We start from the raw sequence: 18,316 nt of genomic DNA, 5'->3' as shown, positions 1-18,316 counted from the left end.
TGGAACCAGATAACTTTTATGTCCTTTTTTTAAAAAAAATAAAGGAATCTATATTATTCTTACATGGCTTGAATAGATGGAATTACCATTTTATTTTCCTGGGCTATTATCTATCTACCTATAGCCTCTTCTCCTTAACACTACCAGTTCATTCTTATTTACCAAATTTACCAAGTATAATGTCCTTATTTTCTTTGACCTCCATCACCTTAAAAAGACTATATAAGTTTAATGGCTGTAAGAAATAGAAAGGTAGGATGGAAGGTTCTATACGAAAATGTAGTCTCAAATAATTCAGGAAGTAACAACATAATTTGTGAGAAAAGTCATGGAAAGAGGGACCACAACCAAAAAAATCTTGTGTATCGGGGAACGAGTTAAATAAATGATGGTATTTACACTTCAAAAGACTACATTAAGAAAAGTGTTGTATCACTTCCATTTTATTGATGAGGAAATGTAATATTAGAGCAGGTAAGTAATCAGCCTATTTATTCAACATTTAAGAAAAATCAGAATTCAAATCCCTCTCTAATTCCAAAACTCTAAGTGATATTCAGAGGAAAGTTTTGTACATGATTTATTATTATTATTATTATTATTATTATTATTATACTTTAAGTTTTAGGGTACATGTGCACAATGTGCCGGTTAGTTACATATGTATACATGTGCCATGCTGTTTTTAGAAGCTGTTATTGGGAATAAGTATAGTTTGGCTGGCAGGGAGGACAAAGAGGGTATTTTATAAGATGTTTCAGAAGCAAAATTCTGACAGCAAAAATGGCCATGCTTAGCAGAAACAATCAGAGAAGAGTCATGGTGGGATCACAGAACTGTGAAAACACTAACATGTATTAGGAATAGTTCAGAAACACGCTTAAGAGTTTAGCTGGGTTGTGGGTTTAAAAAGGTTTTCCACAGCATCAGAATCAATCCGAAAGCAGTTATTGAAAAAAGATTCTCCTGATGGCAATATGCTAGTTGAATAGAGCAAAGGAATTATATAAAAATGCCTACCTACCTAAGCTGTTAAAAGGAACCTAAGATTGGGTGACAAAAGTCCTGACAATTTCATGAAGTTCCTCAAAGTTACAAGGTCTTTATTATAGATAAACACATTTATAAATAACAGCTTTACATAAAAACAAACAAAATATTTCCCTAGAACTTTAAAAATTTTTGTTTAGCCATACTAAGAACTTTTTTCATCAGAACTCTAAAGCCATAAGTCTTTAGCTGTGTTTTCTACAATCCTGATCTCTCCATATTGTGATACACAACGATGCCATGAAAAATATGCAGCATTGTTGTAAAAACTATGTCTCTACAATTAACTTGACATTGGAAAAAATTTTAAGTTACAGCTCTATATCTTCATCTCTGACAAAATGGATAGTATCCTGAGTCATTCTGGATTCTGTACTAAAGTGTTCTTTAAGGAAATCCCTCCCATCTCATCTTCTTTTGGTTTTCTGTATGTCTTTGCCAGTTTTCCCATCATGGTAGTAAAATGGAACAATTTGAAAACATTACTATCTTACCTTTTATTATTCTCTTTAAAAAGAGATTTTTTTCTTACAAACCACAACTCATATTTTAAATACCCTGTAATAAATTTCATTAGGCTGACTGATTTAAAACACTTTATCTGATAAAGTTATATTTTATCAACTTCTCATTTCAAAAATCCCTACTTAAAAGATGTCTTTATTATGATAGCCTGAGTATGTATAATGCTATATGTTAGTGAATTGTTCAAATGTGTGTTTAATACCTTTTTGTAAAGAGTTTATATTCTGATGTTATAAAATATCATAGATCAATGTCAATAAACACTATAGATCAATAGTCAGCAACTAGTTGATTTATGGCAGCAGTGTCTAATCTTTTGGCTTCCCTGGGCTACATTAGAAGAAGAATTGTCTTGGGCCACACATAAACTACTCTAACACTAATGATAGCTAATGAACTTTAAAAAAAAGGTCCGTGCATAAATCGTTTTAAGACAGTTTACGAATTCGTGTTGGGCTGCATTCAAAGCCGTCTTGGGCTATATGTTTCCAGCAGGCTGTGGGTTGGAAAAGCTTGATCTATGGTGTTTATTAATCAAACATTTTTGTGTAGTGGGTCTATGATTTTTTTTTAATTTTAATGTGTCCAATTTAAATATTTGTGAAAATCAAACTCTTTAATGGGAATTTATGTATGTAAGACTTAAATGCCCCAAGTTTTGTTGTTTTATTTTGTATTAAAATTACTCGACAGCCTTGTTCTCATGATTCTCCATTTGTGTCAATTTCAACTGAAATTTAGAAAGGGTTTATTTGAATGTATTGTTTTTGCTTCTAGATTGCAGTTGTGGAAGAAGATGGTCGAGAGGACAAAGCAACAATTAAATGTGAAACTTCTCCTCCTCCTACCCCTAGAGCCCTCAGAATGACTCACACTCTCCCTTCTTCCTACCACAATGATGCTCGAAGGTAAGACTCTGCAGGCACACTGCACACTGAATGCCCTCCTTCCAAAAATATTCCTCTTCCTTCGTTGTTGTCGAATAGACTGCTTAACAATTTACATTATTTGAGCCAGAATTCTCCAGCTTCCCTTTCCCAGTATCACTTGTGAAATAACCAAATTTCAATTTTGATATCAAATTTGTATTTTTAAAGTTAACTGTATCTTTGTGGTCTTATTATTGGTCAATATAGATAAGAATAACTCTTCTATTTTTTAGTGGATATTTTCTATTACAATGAGATCAGGCTAGAGGAAGGACTTACTAGAAATATTAACAAAAAACTAAGGAGACTGTAGGACAAGATCATAAATTTGGATTGCAGTATAAGCGTAATTAAAGTCTGAAAAGTATATGATTGTGCCTTTTAGCAGACAGGTATGTGCATCCTGTGGGTACTGCTGCTGCCAGCAGTAATAACTCCTCAGTCAGAAAGTTATTAGAAAATAAAAAAATCCTTGGCTAAAATATTAAATAAAAAGATAAGTCTAGATGGAGAAATATGTCATTTGTCATCACAATTCTTTATACTGTCTTATCCATATGCATAAAGCACTGCAAACAGATCTCTATAATCACTGATGATATGAATATACCTAAGCATGTAGTTTATATCTGAAATATATCTTCTCTTATTGTCTCATCAATTGCAGCATCTGTAGACACATAATTAATATAACCAAATATAATGACTTAAGGATGAATGCTTCAATAAAAATATCTATCTTCTAGATATTATGTTTTACAATAAATGCTTTTAAAAGTAGGGCTTTCTGTGTTGGCAGTCATTTCTTTTTTCCAACTATTTTTTGTTGTTAATGTGGAAAAATCAGTTACTTCAGCTTCAAAATATTACTTCTTTCACTCTCCAAAAAAGAGTATATTTCAACATATAAAAAGCTATTGCTTGAAGGTTAGGGAATGTGAGTTCAAATTAATTCACATGAGTAAGTAAAAGTAAGTAATTTATCATGGTGTTATAAAATTAACAACTATAGAAACTAATAACAATGTCTATTGATCCCATCCTATTAATACGGTGTCAAATATATTGACCATAAATTGAAACTTAACCAACTGCTTGAAAAGCATTTCAGTTTAACATGTATTTAAAATAATATTTGAGTACTCTAATTAGGAAAACACATACATTGATCACGAGGATACATGGTTTGTTGCTTCCAAATTGCACCCAGATGATTTTAAATTAACTGAATTTGGCTCCAAAACTGAGAAAGGGAACGATGGCTAGAGGAAAATCAAGTAAAACTGTAGATTAGAAGAGCAGCTTCAATTTCACAATAGTTATATTTCAGTTCCTTGCTGTAGGTCATTATGTTTAAGATTAGAAAAACAGACTCTGAGAAATAAATAGACAATGGATCAAGTGCTCCATAATAGAAGGCCATTTATCATGCAGTTAATAACTCAGCCTATATTCACTGATTAGTTTGAGATTATACCAAAAAAGTAAAGAAAAAAAGACATTCGGAGCAAAAATGAATTTATCTTATGGAAATTTGGAGTTTCAGGGCCCAAAGGCTGAAAAAAAAAACTGCATTTAATATCTTAAAAGGAAACATGGGAAAATAGGGGAAAAAACAACATTACAAGTCTGCTTGTTCCTCCTTTGGTGCATTTTATAAAGGAAATGACTTTTGTGTACCTTGTGGATGTTGCATGTATTTTCCTCTTTTGTGTTTTGCAGTAGTTTATCTGTCTCTCTTGAGCCAGAAAGCCTCGGGCTTGGTAGTGCCAACAGCAGCCAAGACTCTCTTCACAAAGCCCCCAAGAAGAAAGGAATCAAGTCTTCAATAGGACGTTTGTTTGGTAAAAAAGAAAAAGCTCGACTTGGGCAGCTCCGTAAGTATGCATGTGTTAAGACTTTCCACTGCCACTCATTTTAGTCATGTCACAGTATCCATCTATCTTTCATTTCATTTCATTGCTCTTCTTTTCATTTCTTCTCTTTTCTACCTGACAAAATTTATATTTTGATTAGCTTTAAATGTTCAATTTAGCTGAATAATGCTTAATACAACTTAGTGAAAGGGTATTGTGAACTTTTCAGTCATTTTATTTCTCTCTTTATAACAATAGCTAGAATTTATTTAATGCTAACTCTTGTGACAGGCACAGTTGCCTACAAAGTAAATGCTAGTGGTATAAACCTTATTTTATTAATGAGTAAATAATGTCTTCATAAATCGCATAACTGTGATATTCATCGTGGTGCCAATGTTTCAAAATCAGCTTAAAACCATTGAGTATACTGCCACTTAAAGCATGAATGTGTATAAAAGCTTAGCTATGTAGATTTAAAGGTTTTTTTGTTGAAAGAATTGATAAGCCTACAAAAAATTAAAAAGAATTTTTAAAAAGTTAGAATAAAGCTTTATAATATGTTACATAAAATGTAAAGAACATGATTTTTTTTTGCTTAAAACTATCATAGCTTCCCCCTAATAAACTCTATGGTGTATAGTTGAGGAATGGATGTGGGGAAAAGAATAGGGCAATAGATATTGTGTTATAATTAGTTATTGTCAGTGACTAATAGAATAAAAATGTAGATCAGTACATTTGAAATGGTACTACTTAAATATGTATTTAGAAATAAGCAGATATATACATACATGATACATACTTACATAATTGTCAGAAGAATCTGTGATATTTCTGAAATGATTATATATATCCTTCACTTATGGGGGGTTGTCTTTCTATATATTAATTTTTAGAGTTATATTATTGGGAAAGAATTAAACTCCTACCTACAGTGGTAAGTGCTGAATGGAATGATCCAAATTTCTTAGTACATCCTTTGGTTTCTCAAATAGAGTAATAATTATTTGCAAGGAATACCCAACTCCAGGACTTAGTTTTCTGCCCTACCATCAAAAGAATTTCTGATTGCGATATTCATGTTTGCAGATTTATGACTACAGTATCCAAAAATGCCTTTCCTGGCTTCCATAGTGTGAAACCCACAGAAAGCATCGGAAGCTACAGGAAACTGATGTGTGGCCAGTGTGTGATTATATGTTCTCCAGCAAAGGAATTAAATCTTTTTGTATTCCTCTTTCTCAGTAGAGGAACTCTTTAGGCTATACATAATATTATTGCATGAGGAAAAAAGAGAGACACAGATTATTTTGTGTTTAAAATATACATGCCAGACATTATTTTAAAATTTGTTTTATCTTATTTGACAACTAGTGGTTGACCAAATGATCTGTCATATCCAATATATTACAGTGTCAGTCACTATAGTGTGAGTGGTTATTTTTGAGTATTAATTTTGCTAACATCATAGTCATATTTATTTATATTTCAACATATATATTCATCTTAGTTGCCATAATTGACACTTTACTTTTAAAATATATTTAATTGCCCTTATCACTTAAAATTTTATATTTTTATTTCATATTTAACTTTGATGAGAAATTCCTAAATCATTAGAAATTTTGCCAACAATATTCTGTCAAAATCAAGGTATGCAAGATATAAGTTAAAGTCTAGAAAAGTATAGAACCTTTGAGAAACTTAGCCTTTATTACTCATTTTCACTGACTGTGTGTTTTAGGTCAGAGCAGATAAGAATTAACTCAATTACTATTATATTCTCATCAACCCCACCAAAGTCAGAAACTAGCAAAAGTTAATTCAGGTCACAGTTTATACCTGGGAAAGTTTCTGAGCTCTGAGTAATATTGCTTTATTTCATAGAACAGCAGAGGTAGAGTGTAAACAAAGCCAGAATCAGCAGCTTGTTAAGGACTGCAATATGGATGAGGAAGACAGGAGCAAAATGCTATACCTATGAAACTAGGTAGAAGCTACATAAATGGTGAATCAAAGCTTCCAGGAAAAAGAACAAAGTCTTTACTGAAAATGAGACTTGAAGAAATAAAAATAAAACATAGGTCTAAACAGGTTCCAGAAAACCATATTTGCACCAAAGGAAATGATACATGGGCCCCACTGATACTTTAGTTAAGGGCTACCAGTTTTAGGTCTGCTTTGGTCCTAGAAGGGGTATCCAAGTTGTCATGGAAAGACCATGCACATTTTTCCAACCCAGGGACTACAACCTAGTACTGCTTATTCATGCATCTGAGGAACCTAGGGAAAAATCTCGAGTGATTATGATTTTAATGTCTTGATCTGGAAAATTCTAAAACCCAGGAGCATTGCCAGTGTTCTTTCTTCTACCAGTAAAAATAGAACTAGAAAATAGAATAGTATGCCAGGGAAAGAACTACGGGAAAGAGATAGTGATGTCAAAGTACCAAATTTGAAATTCTGAACCATGTGCTAAGATTTATAACTCTTAAAAGGTTTAACTCAAAAGAGCAGAGACACATGACTTAAGTTGAAAGCAGCTATACTACATGTCTATAAAGAAATATGGTGTGGAAAGGGAAAGCTGTATAAATGAAACTATGAAAATGTTTCCTTGGTTCTATCAGAAATGATGAACAGCAAAGGAGATGTTTGTAGTAATTCACAAAGGGAAATATTTGGAAAGGATATCTTGTTTGCTTTATATAATACTTCGAAATGCTAGGGTAATAACATAAACTTCAGATAGGAAGGATCAGTCGATGTGATTGTATGGATAACTCCTACCCATGAAGAATCAAACTCAATATGTGCAACAATATGTCTGTTCTTACTAATGTATTACTAGCATAGACAATATCAGTATGGAAACCCCAAAACTCAAAGGAAGCACTGTATTGAAAAGCAATTGAATAAACCTAACAGAAACCAACCAAAATTATTTTATTTTAAAATTTTCTTATGACATCCTTTTCAAATGGTTAGTTCACTCAAATTACAAAAGTAGGATAGAAAAAGCTGTGGTACTAATAGGAGATTTCAAGTTTTTATATATCTTTTGAAAAAATTATTCTGTTCTTACTAGGGTTTACAGTTCTTATTTAGATTATTATTACCTATAATGTAGGAGCAAGATTTCCCAACTGAAATGTGTATCAGTGTATGGGCAGAAAATAAATAGGAGTGATGTAGACTCAAATGAATCAGTGAGGGTTTGTTCTTCCATGTAAAGAATTCAAATTCCATTTGTAAGTACTATTCAGGAAAAATAAAGCATAATTTAAGCCAAGTTTACCTGAAGGCCACAATTGAATTTAGGGAAACCCACCTAACAGAGGAAGCATTCCTTCTAGCTTACTCGGGGATCTGGTTTTAGAGTCATTTCTATTTCTTTGTATTTTTGTTCATTGTCTTTTTGTTGTTGTTGTTGTTGTTGTTGTTGTTGTTGTTTTTAGACAGAATTTCACTCTGTCACCCAGGCTGGAGTGCAGTGGCACAATCTCGGCTCACTGCAACCTCCGCCTCCCAGTTCAAATGATTCTCCTGCCTCAACCTCCCTAGTAGCTGGGATTACAGGCACCCACCACCATGCCTGGCTAATTTTTGTATTTACAGTAGAGATGGGGTTTCACCATGTTGGCCAGGCTGGTCTCTTAACTCCTGACCTCAGGTGATCTGCCCGCCTTGGCATCCCAAAGTGCTGGGATTACAAGCATGAGCCACTGTGCCTGGCCATTTATTGTCTTTCAATGTCACAAATCCCAGGATGAAAAATTAAATAAACAGGTTTGGTTTGTATCCCCATGACAACAGGACCGATATGTACTTCTGCTGACTTCCTGGAACATAGATTCAGGATGTAATAGCATCCTGTTAAGACTTGACAGCACAATGACCATGATCTCTCCCCACCCCTCAATTTATGCATCCATATGCAATGCATCTCTGATATTTTCATTATTGCTCAAATATGCTCATGTCTAATTCACACTTTTAAAAGCTATCACTTGATCTTGCCATTATCTCCAAATATTGACTTATCTTTACCCTGCATTTAATGTACAAGACTGAGTTGTTCACTACTTTTTTCTTTCCTCATCTGTCAATCACTTTACGACCTACCACAGCATCAATTCCAAACACACTGCTACTGAAACGCTAGAAATAGGTGCAGTCTTAACTAACATGGAAAGGTAGTTAGGACACCAAAGGCTGTGTACTGTCAAAGCAATTCCAGAGGATGGTAACACACAATTATATTTATGATGATGTGGATTAAGGAAGAAGCAATGTATCTGAAATGGGAGTTTTCTGCCTAAAACAGACATGAAATGATTTGTTACAAAAATTGGAAAGTGAGAATATGACAAATAATAGATAGAAGCAAGTGGCATCGACATGTAAAAGCAGTGGCAGGAATGCCATCCATCAAAACAGACAGACAATTGGAAAAATCACCAAGACCAAAGTGAGAATTATAGAATCTATATTGTTACTTTTGTTTAGTAATGTATAAATTTAGAGAAAATGAATGAAATGAAGATTTATCTGATGTGAATAGAATATGCAAATAAGTGGAACCATTCAAAAACTCATTTTTGTTTCTATCTGTTTACTTGAAGAGAAAGAGTTCAACCAGAATATAGGCATTACCAAGAGGGCATTTATGACCCAGAGTTGAGGAGATTTATTTTTTTTTTTTTTTGGTGGAGGGAGAGAAGACATAGATAATCCAAAATAATTTATTTATTCCTACTTTCAGTGAATAGACATATATTGAACCACTCTTAAATGCAGAGTACCAATTATGGACTTTAGGAAAATGACTAAGACATGGCTATCGGCATCGAGGAGTTTTCACTTTAGCAAAGATAGTACGTAAACAAATACAAACTTTATACTTAAAACTAAAACTTCACTATATTTTTGGCCCAGAAAAGTTTTATCTGCTACATTGTCTGTCCTGTCAGAACTAGGAACAGTGGCTATGAACCCTAAGATCTGTGATCATGCATAAATAATTGCAGTCCTGACTAGCTTGACTTTTAATTTTATCTGAAGGCATTAATCTATTTTGAAACAAAGTAAATTAACCTATGTTAAAAATAGCCATGTCAGACTAATGTCCTTTGTTTGTTTGGCAACTTTACTTAGTAACAGATAATGAAAGGTGGTGAGCAAGCCATCACTCATGACATCCCTGGGGACAAGATGTCAAAATGGGGCCTGAGTGCTGGAACAGTTAGGTGGGATTTATAACTGGTTAAATAATCCTTGCCCACTGATGAGTGGAGTAACGTCACCTGGGATCAAAGTTTCTCGTGGCATGATTAGGACTCACTCTGTTCTTGATCAGCACATCCAAAATCACTTGGATATGAATGTTTCCACAGCTCAGGTATCTGATTGATGGATTACTAATAAGGGGAGGAATCCTAAGTGAAAAGATTAGTATTACCCCTAAATGCTATCCCCCCCACCAAAAATAGAAAGAATGGATGTAAGTGGGATCTAAATTCTCCTACTCTAAAAGTATAGTTCTTGGAAGCAAGTTTTTAAAGAAAAAAAATAAAAAATTCATGTGACTCTAAAGTCAATATTGATTAATAAGTTTAGGCCACATTAACAGACATAAGAGTTGATATGAAAGTTTTTTCTACTCTACTCTGCTATGATAAAAGAACAGCCAAGCAATGGAATCCATCCTGGTTACTGTACTTTTAAAGGCACATCATCAACCTGGAGGAAGGTTGGAGGAGAAAATTAGGCACCTGTAGAGGATTGGAATCACGTTCGGAGAACATAAGTGAATGGTGTGTTTATTCCCTTTGCTGAACTACCAAGTAGCTGATCACAACATTTGAAGAGTTGTTCTGTATAAGAGCTATTGTCCTTTTCATTGTAAGTAAGGATACGAAACTAGAACCAAAGTATTAAAGTTGTACAAAATTATTCTTCATCTCGATGTAAGAAAGAACAGTGGGGTGTCAGAATTCTATACAAAATGGGCTGGCTTATGAGGTAGTGAGTTATTTGTCACTTGGAAATTGCCGAGCAAAAGCTAGGCAAATACTAGGAAGAGCTGTTGTGGAGGGGATCCAAGCATTGGAAAGCTGATTGGACTGGATGATCTTTAAGATCTACTTCAACCCTAGGAATACTGAATCTATGAATCTCTAACATTTAAGTCTTTTCTCTGGCAACTCTTCTTTATACAACTAAAACACCATAAAATATTTACTATGAAAATAAATTTCTGCTTTTAAGATTACAGACTTCTAGAGCTGTATGCCTAAAGATTCTAGAAGATATGTGAGGATCATGTAGTTGTCCACATTCTATACATATCGAAACTGAGATGATTTCAGAAGACAGAGCAGCTACTTAGTAAGAGAGTTGATAGTGAATCCTGGCTCCTACTTCCTGGTCTGATGATCCGGAAAGGAAACTCTTGGGATTATTTCAATCAAAAAATACTTCATTGAGTTCCTATCCCTGTGGAACAAGTGTGGGCACATAAAGAAATTAAAAATACGATTATTCAAGAAGTATATAACATCTTGAGGATATCCCATATAAATGAATAAATAATAACTCAAGGCAACAATAAAAAATCACACAGAAACATTATAATTTTTCTAATACAAGATACAGACATAATGTTTGGAGAGAGTTCTGGGTTAATCTTTCTCTCCCTGTATATGTTTGATTCTACTAGGATCATCTAAGTGCAATCTTCCTACGTATTTGAAAAGGTGTAAAGGTAGAGTTTCAAACGGGACCTATCTTTGAGAAAAGGGTATTGAAACTATGTTAAACAGCAAGCTCCAGAGAGAATGTCATGGAAATGGCGTTTTCTGTGGTTAAATAGGAAGTGGGTACTGGCTGGGTCAGAAGTGTGATGCCAGCTTATGAAGCAAAGGAAGTGATTAGCACCAAAGATCAAGTTACCCAGCCACAGACAGATTGGAACTGCAGAGATTGGGAGGCAGCATCTTGAAGCAGAGCCAACCACAGAAATAAGATGATCTGAGTTCCAGGGTCAAGCATCCAAGCAGAAGTGAGAGTTAAGGATTAGAGCAAACGAGCTCTGTTTTCCAGAGGCAGTTTGTCAGCTTAGAAAAATGATGATAGTGTATGGAGAAGAGACAGAAATATTTAAACATTTACTATTTCTAGGGAAATTAACTGCTCCATACCATCTTAACATACTGATTTGTTTGCCACCTGAGAAACACCAACTCTTTTGAGTCTTCACAGAGCTCTACTAATAATTACAATGAAGAAACAAGAACACATCTGACCAACTTAGCTGATGTCAATAGTGAATGGTTAGGATAAAGAAGAGGCTACTGACAGGCATAGCAAAAGATGAAACAAATCTAAGACAAAGAGATATTCAAGACAAGGGAGTGATCAAATAGAGCCAAAACAACAAAGCTATGAAAAAAATAATGAAAACAGAAAAGCACGTTAACTATGAATAAGCAGAATTCCCAATTGCATGTATAAAAATGCATATATTATTAGGTTAGGGCCACTTTAGCAAGTTTCCTTTAAATGCGTATGAAAAGCAATATACACATTTAAAGAGCTTTTTTTGCCTCTAAATGGCAATTCTTTTATGGTTATCTGCCAGTTTGTATTATAATTGTCTGAACTCATTGACCTACTATAATAGGCTTAATAAAAAAATAATTTCACAGTGACAAAAACACAGCTTCAGCAGTACACCAGCATCATTTCACAAGTACAGTCGTGCATTGTTTAATGATAAGGATACATTCTAAAAATTGCATCCCTTAGGGGATTTTGTTGCACAAACCTAAATAATATAACCTACTACCTACCCAGGCTGTATGGAATAGCCACCTACACACCTAGACTATAGGTATAGCCTGTTGCTATAAAAAATCCACAATATGTGACTGTACTGAACACTGTAGGCAATCGTAACACAATGGTTAAGTATTTGTGTACCTAAACATAAAAGGTATAGTGAAAATATGCTATTATAGTTTTATGGGAACACTGTCATAAATGCAGCCCATCATTAACAGAAAGGTCTTTATGTGGCGCATGACTGTATTTTTCTACCTCTAAAATTTGGGTGTCTGTGTCGGCCTTTACGCCAAAACTTAGATTGTTCCTTGGTGCTAAGGAACCAATAGTTACAATGTAAATTCCACAAAGTGTCCATTAGAAATGACTCATGCTCTGCATAGTGAAAGGGTCTTTCTTTAAATAAAGTAGTATTTAGCTCCAATTATGACTGTATTTGTTACATACCCTTTATGAGCCAGGCACTGTGTATAGATACAGTCTCCGGATAGCTAACAGACTAACAGATGTTGAACAATTAAGTAACAATTTATAAATTCAAATGTGTTTTAATACAAACCATGTGCTATTTATTAATGATGAAGACAGTTCTACTGAAAGAAAGATGAAGCCACCAATCATCAGCAGATTGTAGTAGTTAGAGATCTCTTTTTCACACAATGACAGAGACCTCTGCTGGACAAATGGAAGGACAGAGGCCTTGCAATATGGGTTTGTCAAGCAATTTCTACAGACTTGTATCTCAAGGGCCAATATGAAATAAGTGATTTTGAATGAAATTTAAGGACTGGGAAATGGGGAGATATTTGTCTTTGTTGACCTAAATACCAAATAGAGATGCTCTCTAAAAGAAAAGATGTTTATTTAGGAATAGAGCATTGTGATAAGAATATGTATGTCATAGTAAACTATAAACTATGTGTATACTCAGGGAAGGAAAGGAAGACAAAGATTTTTAAAGGCAAAAAATTAAGAACATTACATAATTTTTTGAAATAATTATCTTTGGCTACTCAAATTAATAACAAGCGTGCCACCAGTCAGAGGTTGGACAGGCAATTGCCAGACAGATATACCTATAAAAATATTTTTTGGCATGGGATTGCAATGGCCTTCGTGCAAGGTTGTGGCTTTCGTAGGGTCTTTTGTTGTTGTTGTTGTTGCTATCGTGCGTAGGAGCATGAGAATCCTCTGTTCATGGCCTTCCCTGGCTCTACTTGCCAGGATTTTCTTAACAATAGTGACTCCATTTTGATTCTAACAACTTCCACACCTTCACAATCCAAATGAATAGATACCTCCAACTAGTTCCATCCACAGATCTAGGCATGTGAGTTTCCTTCCTGTGCCCTGAGCCCTGAGCCTTCGCAAGCCCTACATTTTGTAGCAACTTCCTTGAAAAATTTTAAGACTCCCTCTGATGTCTGGGAAAGTTCAGGGCTGGCAGTGCCATCTGGGCAAGGCACCCCCAGCTGAGACCCGGACCCGGGGTCTAATCACTGGAAGCATCGAAATGTTCTCAGTTACCGTTCAGACACTGGGACCAGAAGGGAAGTAGTGCCATCTGGACATGTTGCCCGATCCAGCCAAACAGCAGGAGCCTGGGTCCCTGTTTCTCCCCTTCAGGGTTTTCTTTGACACTCTACGCCACGCATGCACTCGACCAGATGCCCCAGGGAGCCTAGTGAGTCGCATCTATGGAGTCATCCTGAGACAGTGGTCTGACCCTGTTTTCAAGAGGGTGGTCTGGCAATTGGATCCCTCGCTCCCACTGGCAAGAATGGTATTGTATGAGATTGAATCAGTAGATCGTTGTCCCACTGATTTTTTGGTGGTTCAAAACTGTTTACACAGGAAGAGGGGCTGGCAAAAAAAAATCCTTGACTGTGCCTGTCACACCTTAGGAGTGGTCTTGCCCTCAATAATTCCAAGTCCTCGAAGGCCTCACAAAAGTAAAGATGCCTGAGTGATAGCCAAGAAAACTTTGAGGGCAAGAAGGCTGCCTTGCTCATGCCCAACCACTAGGCGGACCCTGACAAGGTGATAAACAATTTATTATGTAAGTAGTCTGCTGAATCATGGGACTCAAACCTTCAAGCCCAAGCACTTCAGGCCATGAAAGGGGTGGAGTTCATTGTGTTCTTTCCACATAGTTTCCTAATAGACCTCCTGAAGAATGAGTAACCCCTAGTTTCCACAGGCCAGTGTTTCTCCTCTGAGGCACTCATCATTTTGAGAATGACAAGCTAGGCCAGGCATGGTGGCTCACATCTGTAATCCCAGTGCTTTGGGAGGCCAAAGTCAAAGGATCCCTTGAGGCCAGCAGTTGAAGACCTGCCTAAGCAACATAGCAAGACCTCATCTCTACAAAAAATAGAAAAACTAGCCGGGCATAGTGGCACACATCTATAGTCCCAGCTACTTGGGAGGAGGATGGGTTGAGTTCAGGAGTTTGAGGCTGCAGTGAGCTCTGATGGCACCACTGCACTCCAGTCTGAGAGAGACTGAGACCCTGTTTAAAAAAAAAAAAAAAAGAAAGAAAGAAAAAAAGAAAAAAGAAACAAGCTGCAGTTTCTCTATTTAATGAAGGATGTTTAGAATCCTTGTCCCCTGTCCAATATGTGCCAATCATTATAATACCCAAAAAAATGCACCCTCCCTCAACATACACAAACATTTACATTCCCTCTGTGGATGTACTGTATCCAGGTAGAAACTCTGGTATATAGTGCTGGCCAACATTGATACAATATAAGCCACAAATGTGAACCACATATGTAATTTTAAATTTTCTGGTAGCTACATTAAGAAAAGTTAAAAGAGATAGGTGGGATTAATTTTAATCCTATATTTTATTTAACCTGATATAGAAACAATAATCTCATTTTAACACATGATCACTTAAAATTTATGAATTACATGTATTTTTCTACCACGTTTTCAAAACCTGGTGTGTATTTTACACTTACAATACATCATCTGAATTAGGCACATTTCAAGAGCTTAATAGTCACATGTAGGGAGTGAATAAAATATTGGTATAGATAAATAGATATTTCTGAAGTTCACATAGCCATATGAGCCCACTGATGCCTAGACAAGAATGAGACAGACTCTCACTGGATTTAGATAATCATCCATAGAGTAAAATAATTAGTAAGCTGGTTTGGCTAAGGTCACCCTTACCAGCTAGTTTATCAAGTATGTGGAAAGATAAACATTAGATGAGTGAAGCAGCTAGGTCAATTCTGTGAAAAAATGTCCTCCCTCAGAAGTGTTTTAATTGGGCTGAAAATATGCACTTGCTGGGACTTTTCTCCTGGTTAAGCGCACTGGCCTGAATGTGTTGCTTAAAAATAGCTTTACTTACAATGGCCTTACGTCCCATTTGTACTTGGCATTTTTGAGTAGGATGTAGTTCCAGTTATCTATCAAATGCTTTGAAAAAAGATACTAGATTTTGCAATACTCCGAGTATTTCTAAGTTCTTCATGCTTTTTATTTTATAGTTATGAGAAAATAAAATGTCTAGATTTAACTCACAAAATATTCCTAGATTTTTCTTTGCTTTTATTTCAAGTTTTATTATTTAAAAATGTGATTTTTTTCTATTAAAATTTTGGGTATATGAATAAATTTAAATCATAATTTAAATGTTCTTATATTGCTCAGAAGAATAAAAGCCTGATTCATCTAGCCACCTGGTGGTTGAAAATCTTTCCTTGTTTATTGAATATGTCTGCCTCATCAATCTCTATGTCCCTATATGGACCATTCAAGAATTTTATAACTTTTAAGTGACTCATTCATTTTCATTTACATTTCAAGAAAACATTTTTATTATTATTTGAAGACTATGAATAATAATTTATTGATATACAGTAAGGCAAATATACAGATGAGAGAAATAAAATGAAAATATGCACTCACTGTACATAATGGAAAATTTCCCATTTGAAAATGTTTCTTTCCCAAGAGTACTTTAGTCACCAGTAGAAGGCTTTCCTAATCCATACCAAGAAGAAAAATCTTTCATAATAAAAAAAGATTTAAGTACCCGTATTCATTAAACATGTGAATAATAACTAAAACAAATTTTGGCCCTCAAACTCCACATCTCTGAATTAGATCTATACAGCAATAAATGTGTTTTTAATTAAAGGAGACTTTTAAAAAATTATATAGTTCAGTAAAAAGGTTATCAGGAATGAGATTAATTTATTTATATCAATGTTCCCAAGTTAATATTATCCAGTATTATAAATTATTTGGTAAAATAAAGTATTAAAAACAGTAACATCAAAATTTGCTTTTGGCACCTTGGTAAGATATTTTACTTTGCTAAAGAGAAACCATATCTTGGTCGAGTCCTGCAAATGTTAAGTAAGGAAGTGTCCACTACAATGAGAGAAGAGCAAAAGTTGTCTTCAATAGTTATTTACTGATATAGTGATGAAATTTCTTGCATAGTCTTTGTGAGAGTTTATATTAGCTTAAATCTTTCTACCTAATCTTGACCTTAACTGGAGTTTAATTTTCTTTTATTAAAAAAAGTATATACCTTAACTCATTTAAAAATAGTGAGCATTTTCATTTAGCTCGACTTCAGAACATAGGAGTAAGTCCTTATTTTTCAATTACAACAGATAATTTATGAATTAATTTTGTAAGTTTAGAAATCCTGTGATATGTGTTTAATGTACATCATACTTTTCTTTCTTCTTCCTTTTATTACAAAGTTATATAAGGTATACATATTATATATTGACACTAAATGAGAACTTATGACCTACTTGGTGATAACTATTTTTATCAAGCTCTTTTGAAGAAATTTAGAATTTTTTCAAAAAATATTATGAAGTTTAAAAAACAACACAAGAACCTGCCCAGAACACATCGAGTTCTGGAAGTAAGATTTATAGTGAAGGACATAGGAGTCAGCCAGTAGAGCAGAACAAATTTCCAGGAGCAGTCTATGAAGAGCTCTTAGAAGTCAGCAAATGTTTCTCCATTCTCTCAACTTGTAATAGAAAACATATACTTGAGTTCCTACCCAATTGGCTATCATTTATCCCATTATATGTGAAATATTGCAAATACTTAACGTGTTGAAAAAATAAACAAATCTCACACGCTGCATAGATATTTGCTCTTATTTTCCATAAGAAAAGTATAAAAACAGACTTTAAGACTTGGGGACAGTATATTTAAGTGTCTTGTCAGTGAACAGGCCACATTTATTATGTTGCCACTGGGTGCAACAAATTATATCCCCATAGGTACTGCTTTGTTTTGTTTTCATTTTCTCAGTGTATGTTTATGTATGTACCCATGCCATTTTATGCATCTTGGGTTAGTAATATAAGGAAAATTTTTAAATGTGATACTAAACAGTTGCTCAACTAAACCTTTAACAACCTGACTTCAGAATTGACACAACCTATGCAACATAATCTGAATACTTAGTTACTTCTCTTCACAGGAGGCTTTATGGAGACTGAAGCTGCAGCTCAGGAGTCCCTGGGGTTAGGCAAACTCGGAACTCAAGCTGAGAAGGATCGAAGACTAAAGAAAAAGTAGGTTTGGGGATTTTTCCCTCTTTTTCTAACTTTTATCAATTCCTTATTATTATTTATAGGGAATTAAAAAGAGAGTGGTTGGAAACAAAAGAACTATATTGAAGCCAATATTTTCCAGATACTACCTAAAACACTCAGGGCTTATGTTTCCTGGTTATAATGAGCTACTGTTTAAAAGAGTATAAAAATATTTGGCCTGTAGTTGAAATAAGCAGTTTCTTCAACGTAACCATCCATAGATTTGTTTCAAAATCCTTACAAGTAATGCAATGCTATTGATGTTCAAAATTAAAACCTGATTGGTTTGATAAAATGAGATTATACCATCTAGCTTTGTTTTCTCTCATGGCAATTATAAGTATCTACTCTTTGAAATGGAGTAAAGGAGAAACATTTCTCTGACTGATTGAATATAAACTTATTTTAGACTCAGAGCAGATTGTTTTGCATCTGTCAGGAAATTGATAGTGTATCTTTTCATTCATATATAATATAGGACATTTAAATGACTTGCAAAATTGGCCAATTT

General features: G+C 34.5%; 1 protein-coding gene across 51 annotated transcripts in view; it reads left to right on the top strand.

Annotated features, from left to right (window-relative positions):
* Positions 1-18,316, top strand: part of PPFIA2 (PPFI scaffold protein A2) — a 501,376-nt gene that overhangs the window by 415,790 nt on the left and 67,270 nt on the right. For all 51 annotated transcript variants that reach the window (XM_024449242.2, XM_017020107.3, XM_024449240.2 and 48 more), the window contains 3 exons: positions 2,353-2,483; positions 4,227-4,381; positions 17,691-17,784. In XM_024449242.2, the coding sequence (XP_024305010.1) occupies positions 2,353-2,483; positions 4,227-4,381; positions 17,691-17,784 (380 nt within the window). The remainder of the gene's footprint in view (positions 1-2,352; positions 2,484-4,226; positions 4,382-17,690; positions 17,785-18,316) is intronic.

The sequence above is a fragment of the Homo sapiens genome, chromosome 12 (genome assembly GCF_000001405.40).
Source record: "Homo sapiens chromosome 12, GRCh38.p14 Primary Assembly".
Lineage (NCBI taxonomy): Eukaryota > Metazoa > Chordata > Mammalia > Primates > Hominidae > Homo > Homo sapiens.
The sequence above is the reverse complement of the archived record's forward strand: the minus strand, read 5'-3'. Positions and strand labels throughout refer to the sequence as shown.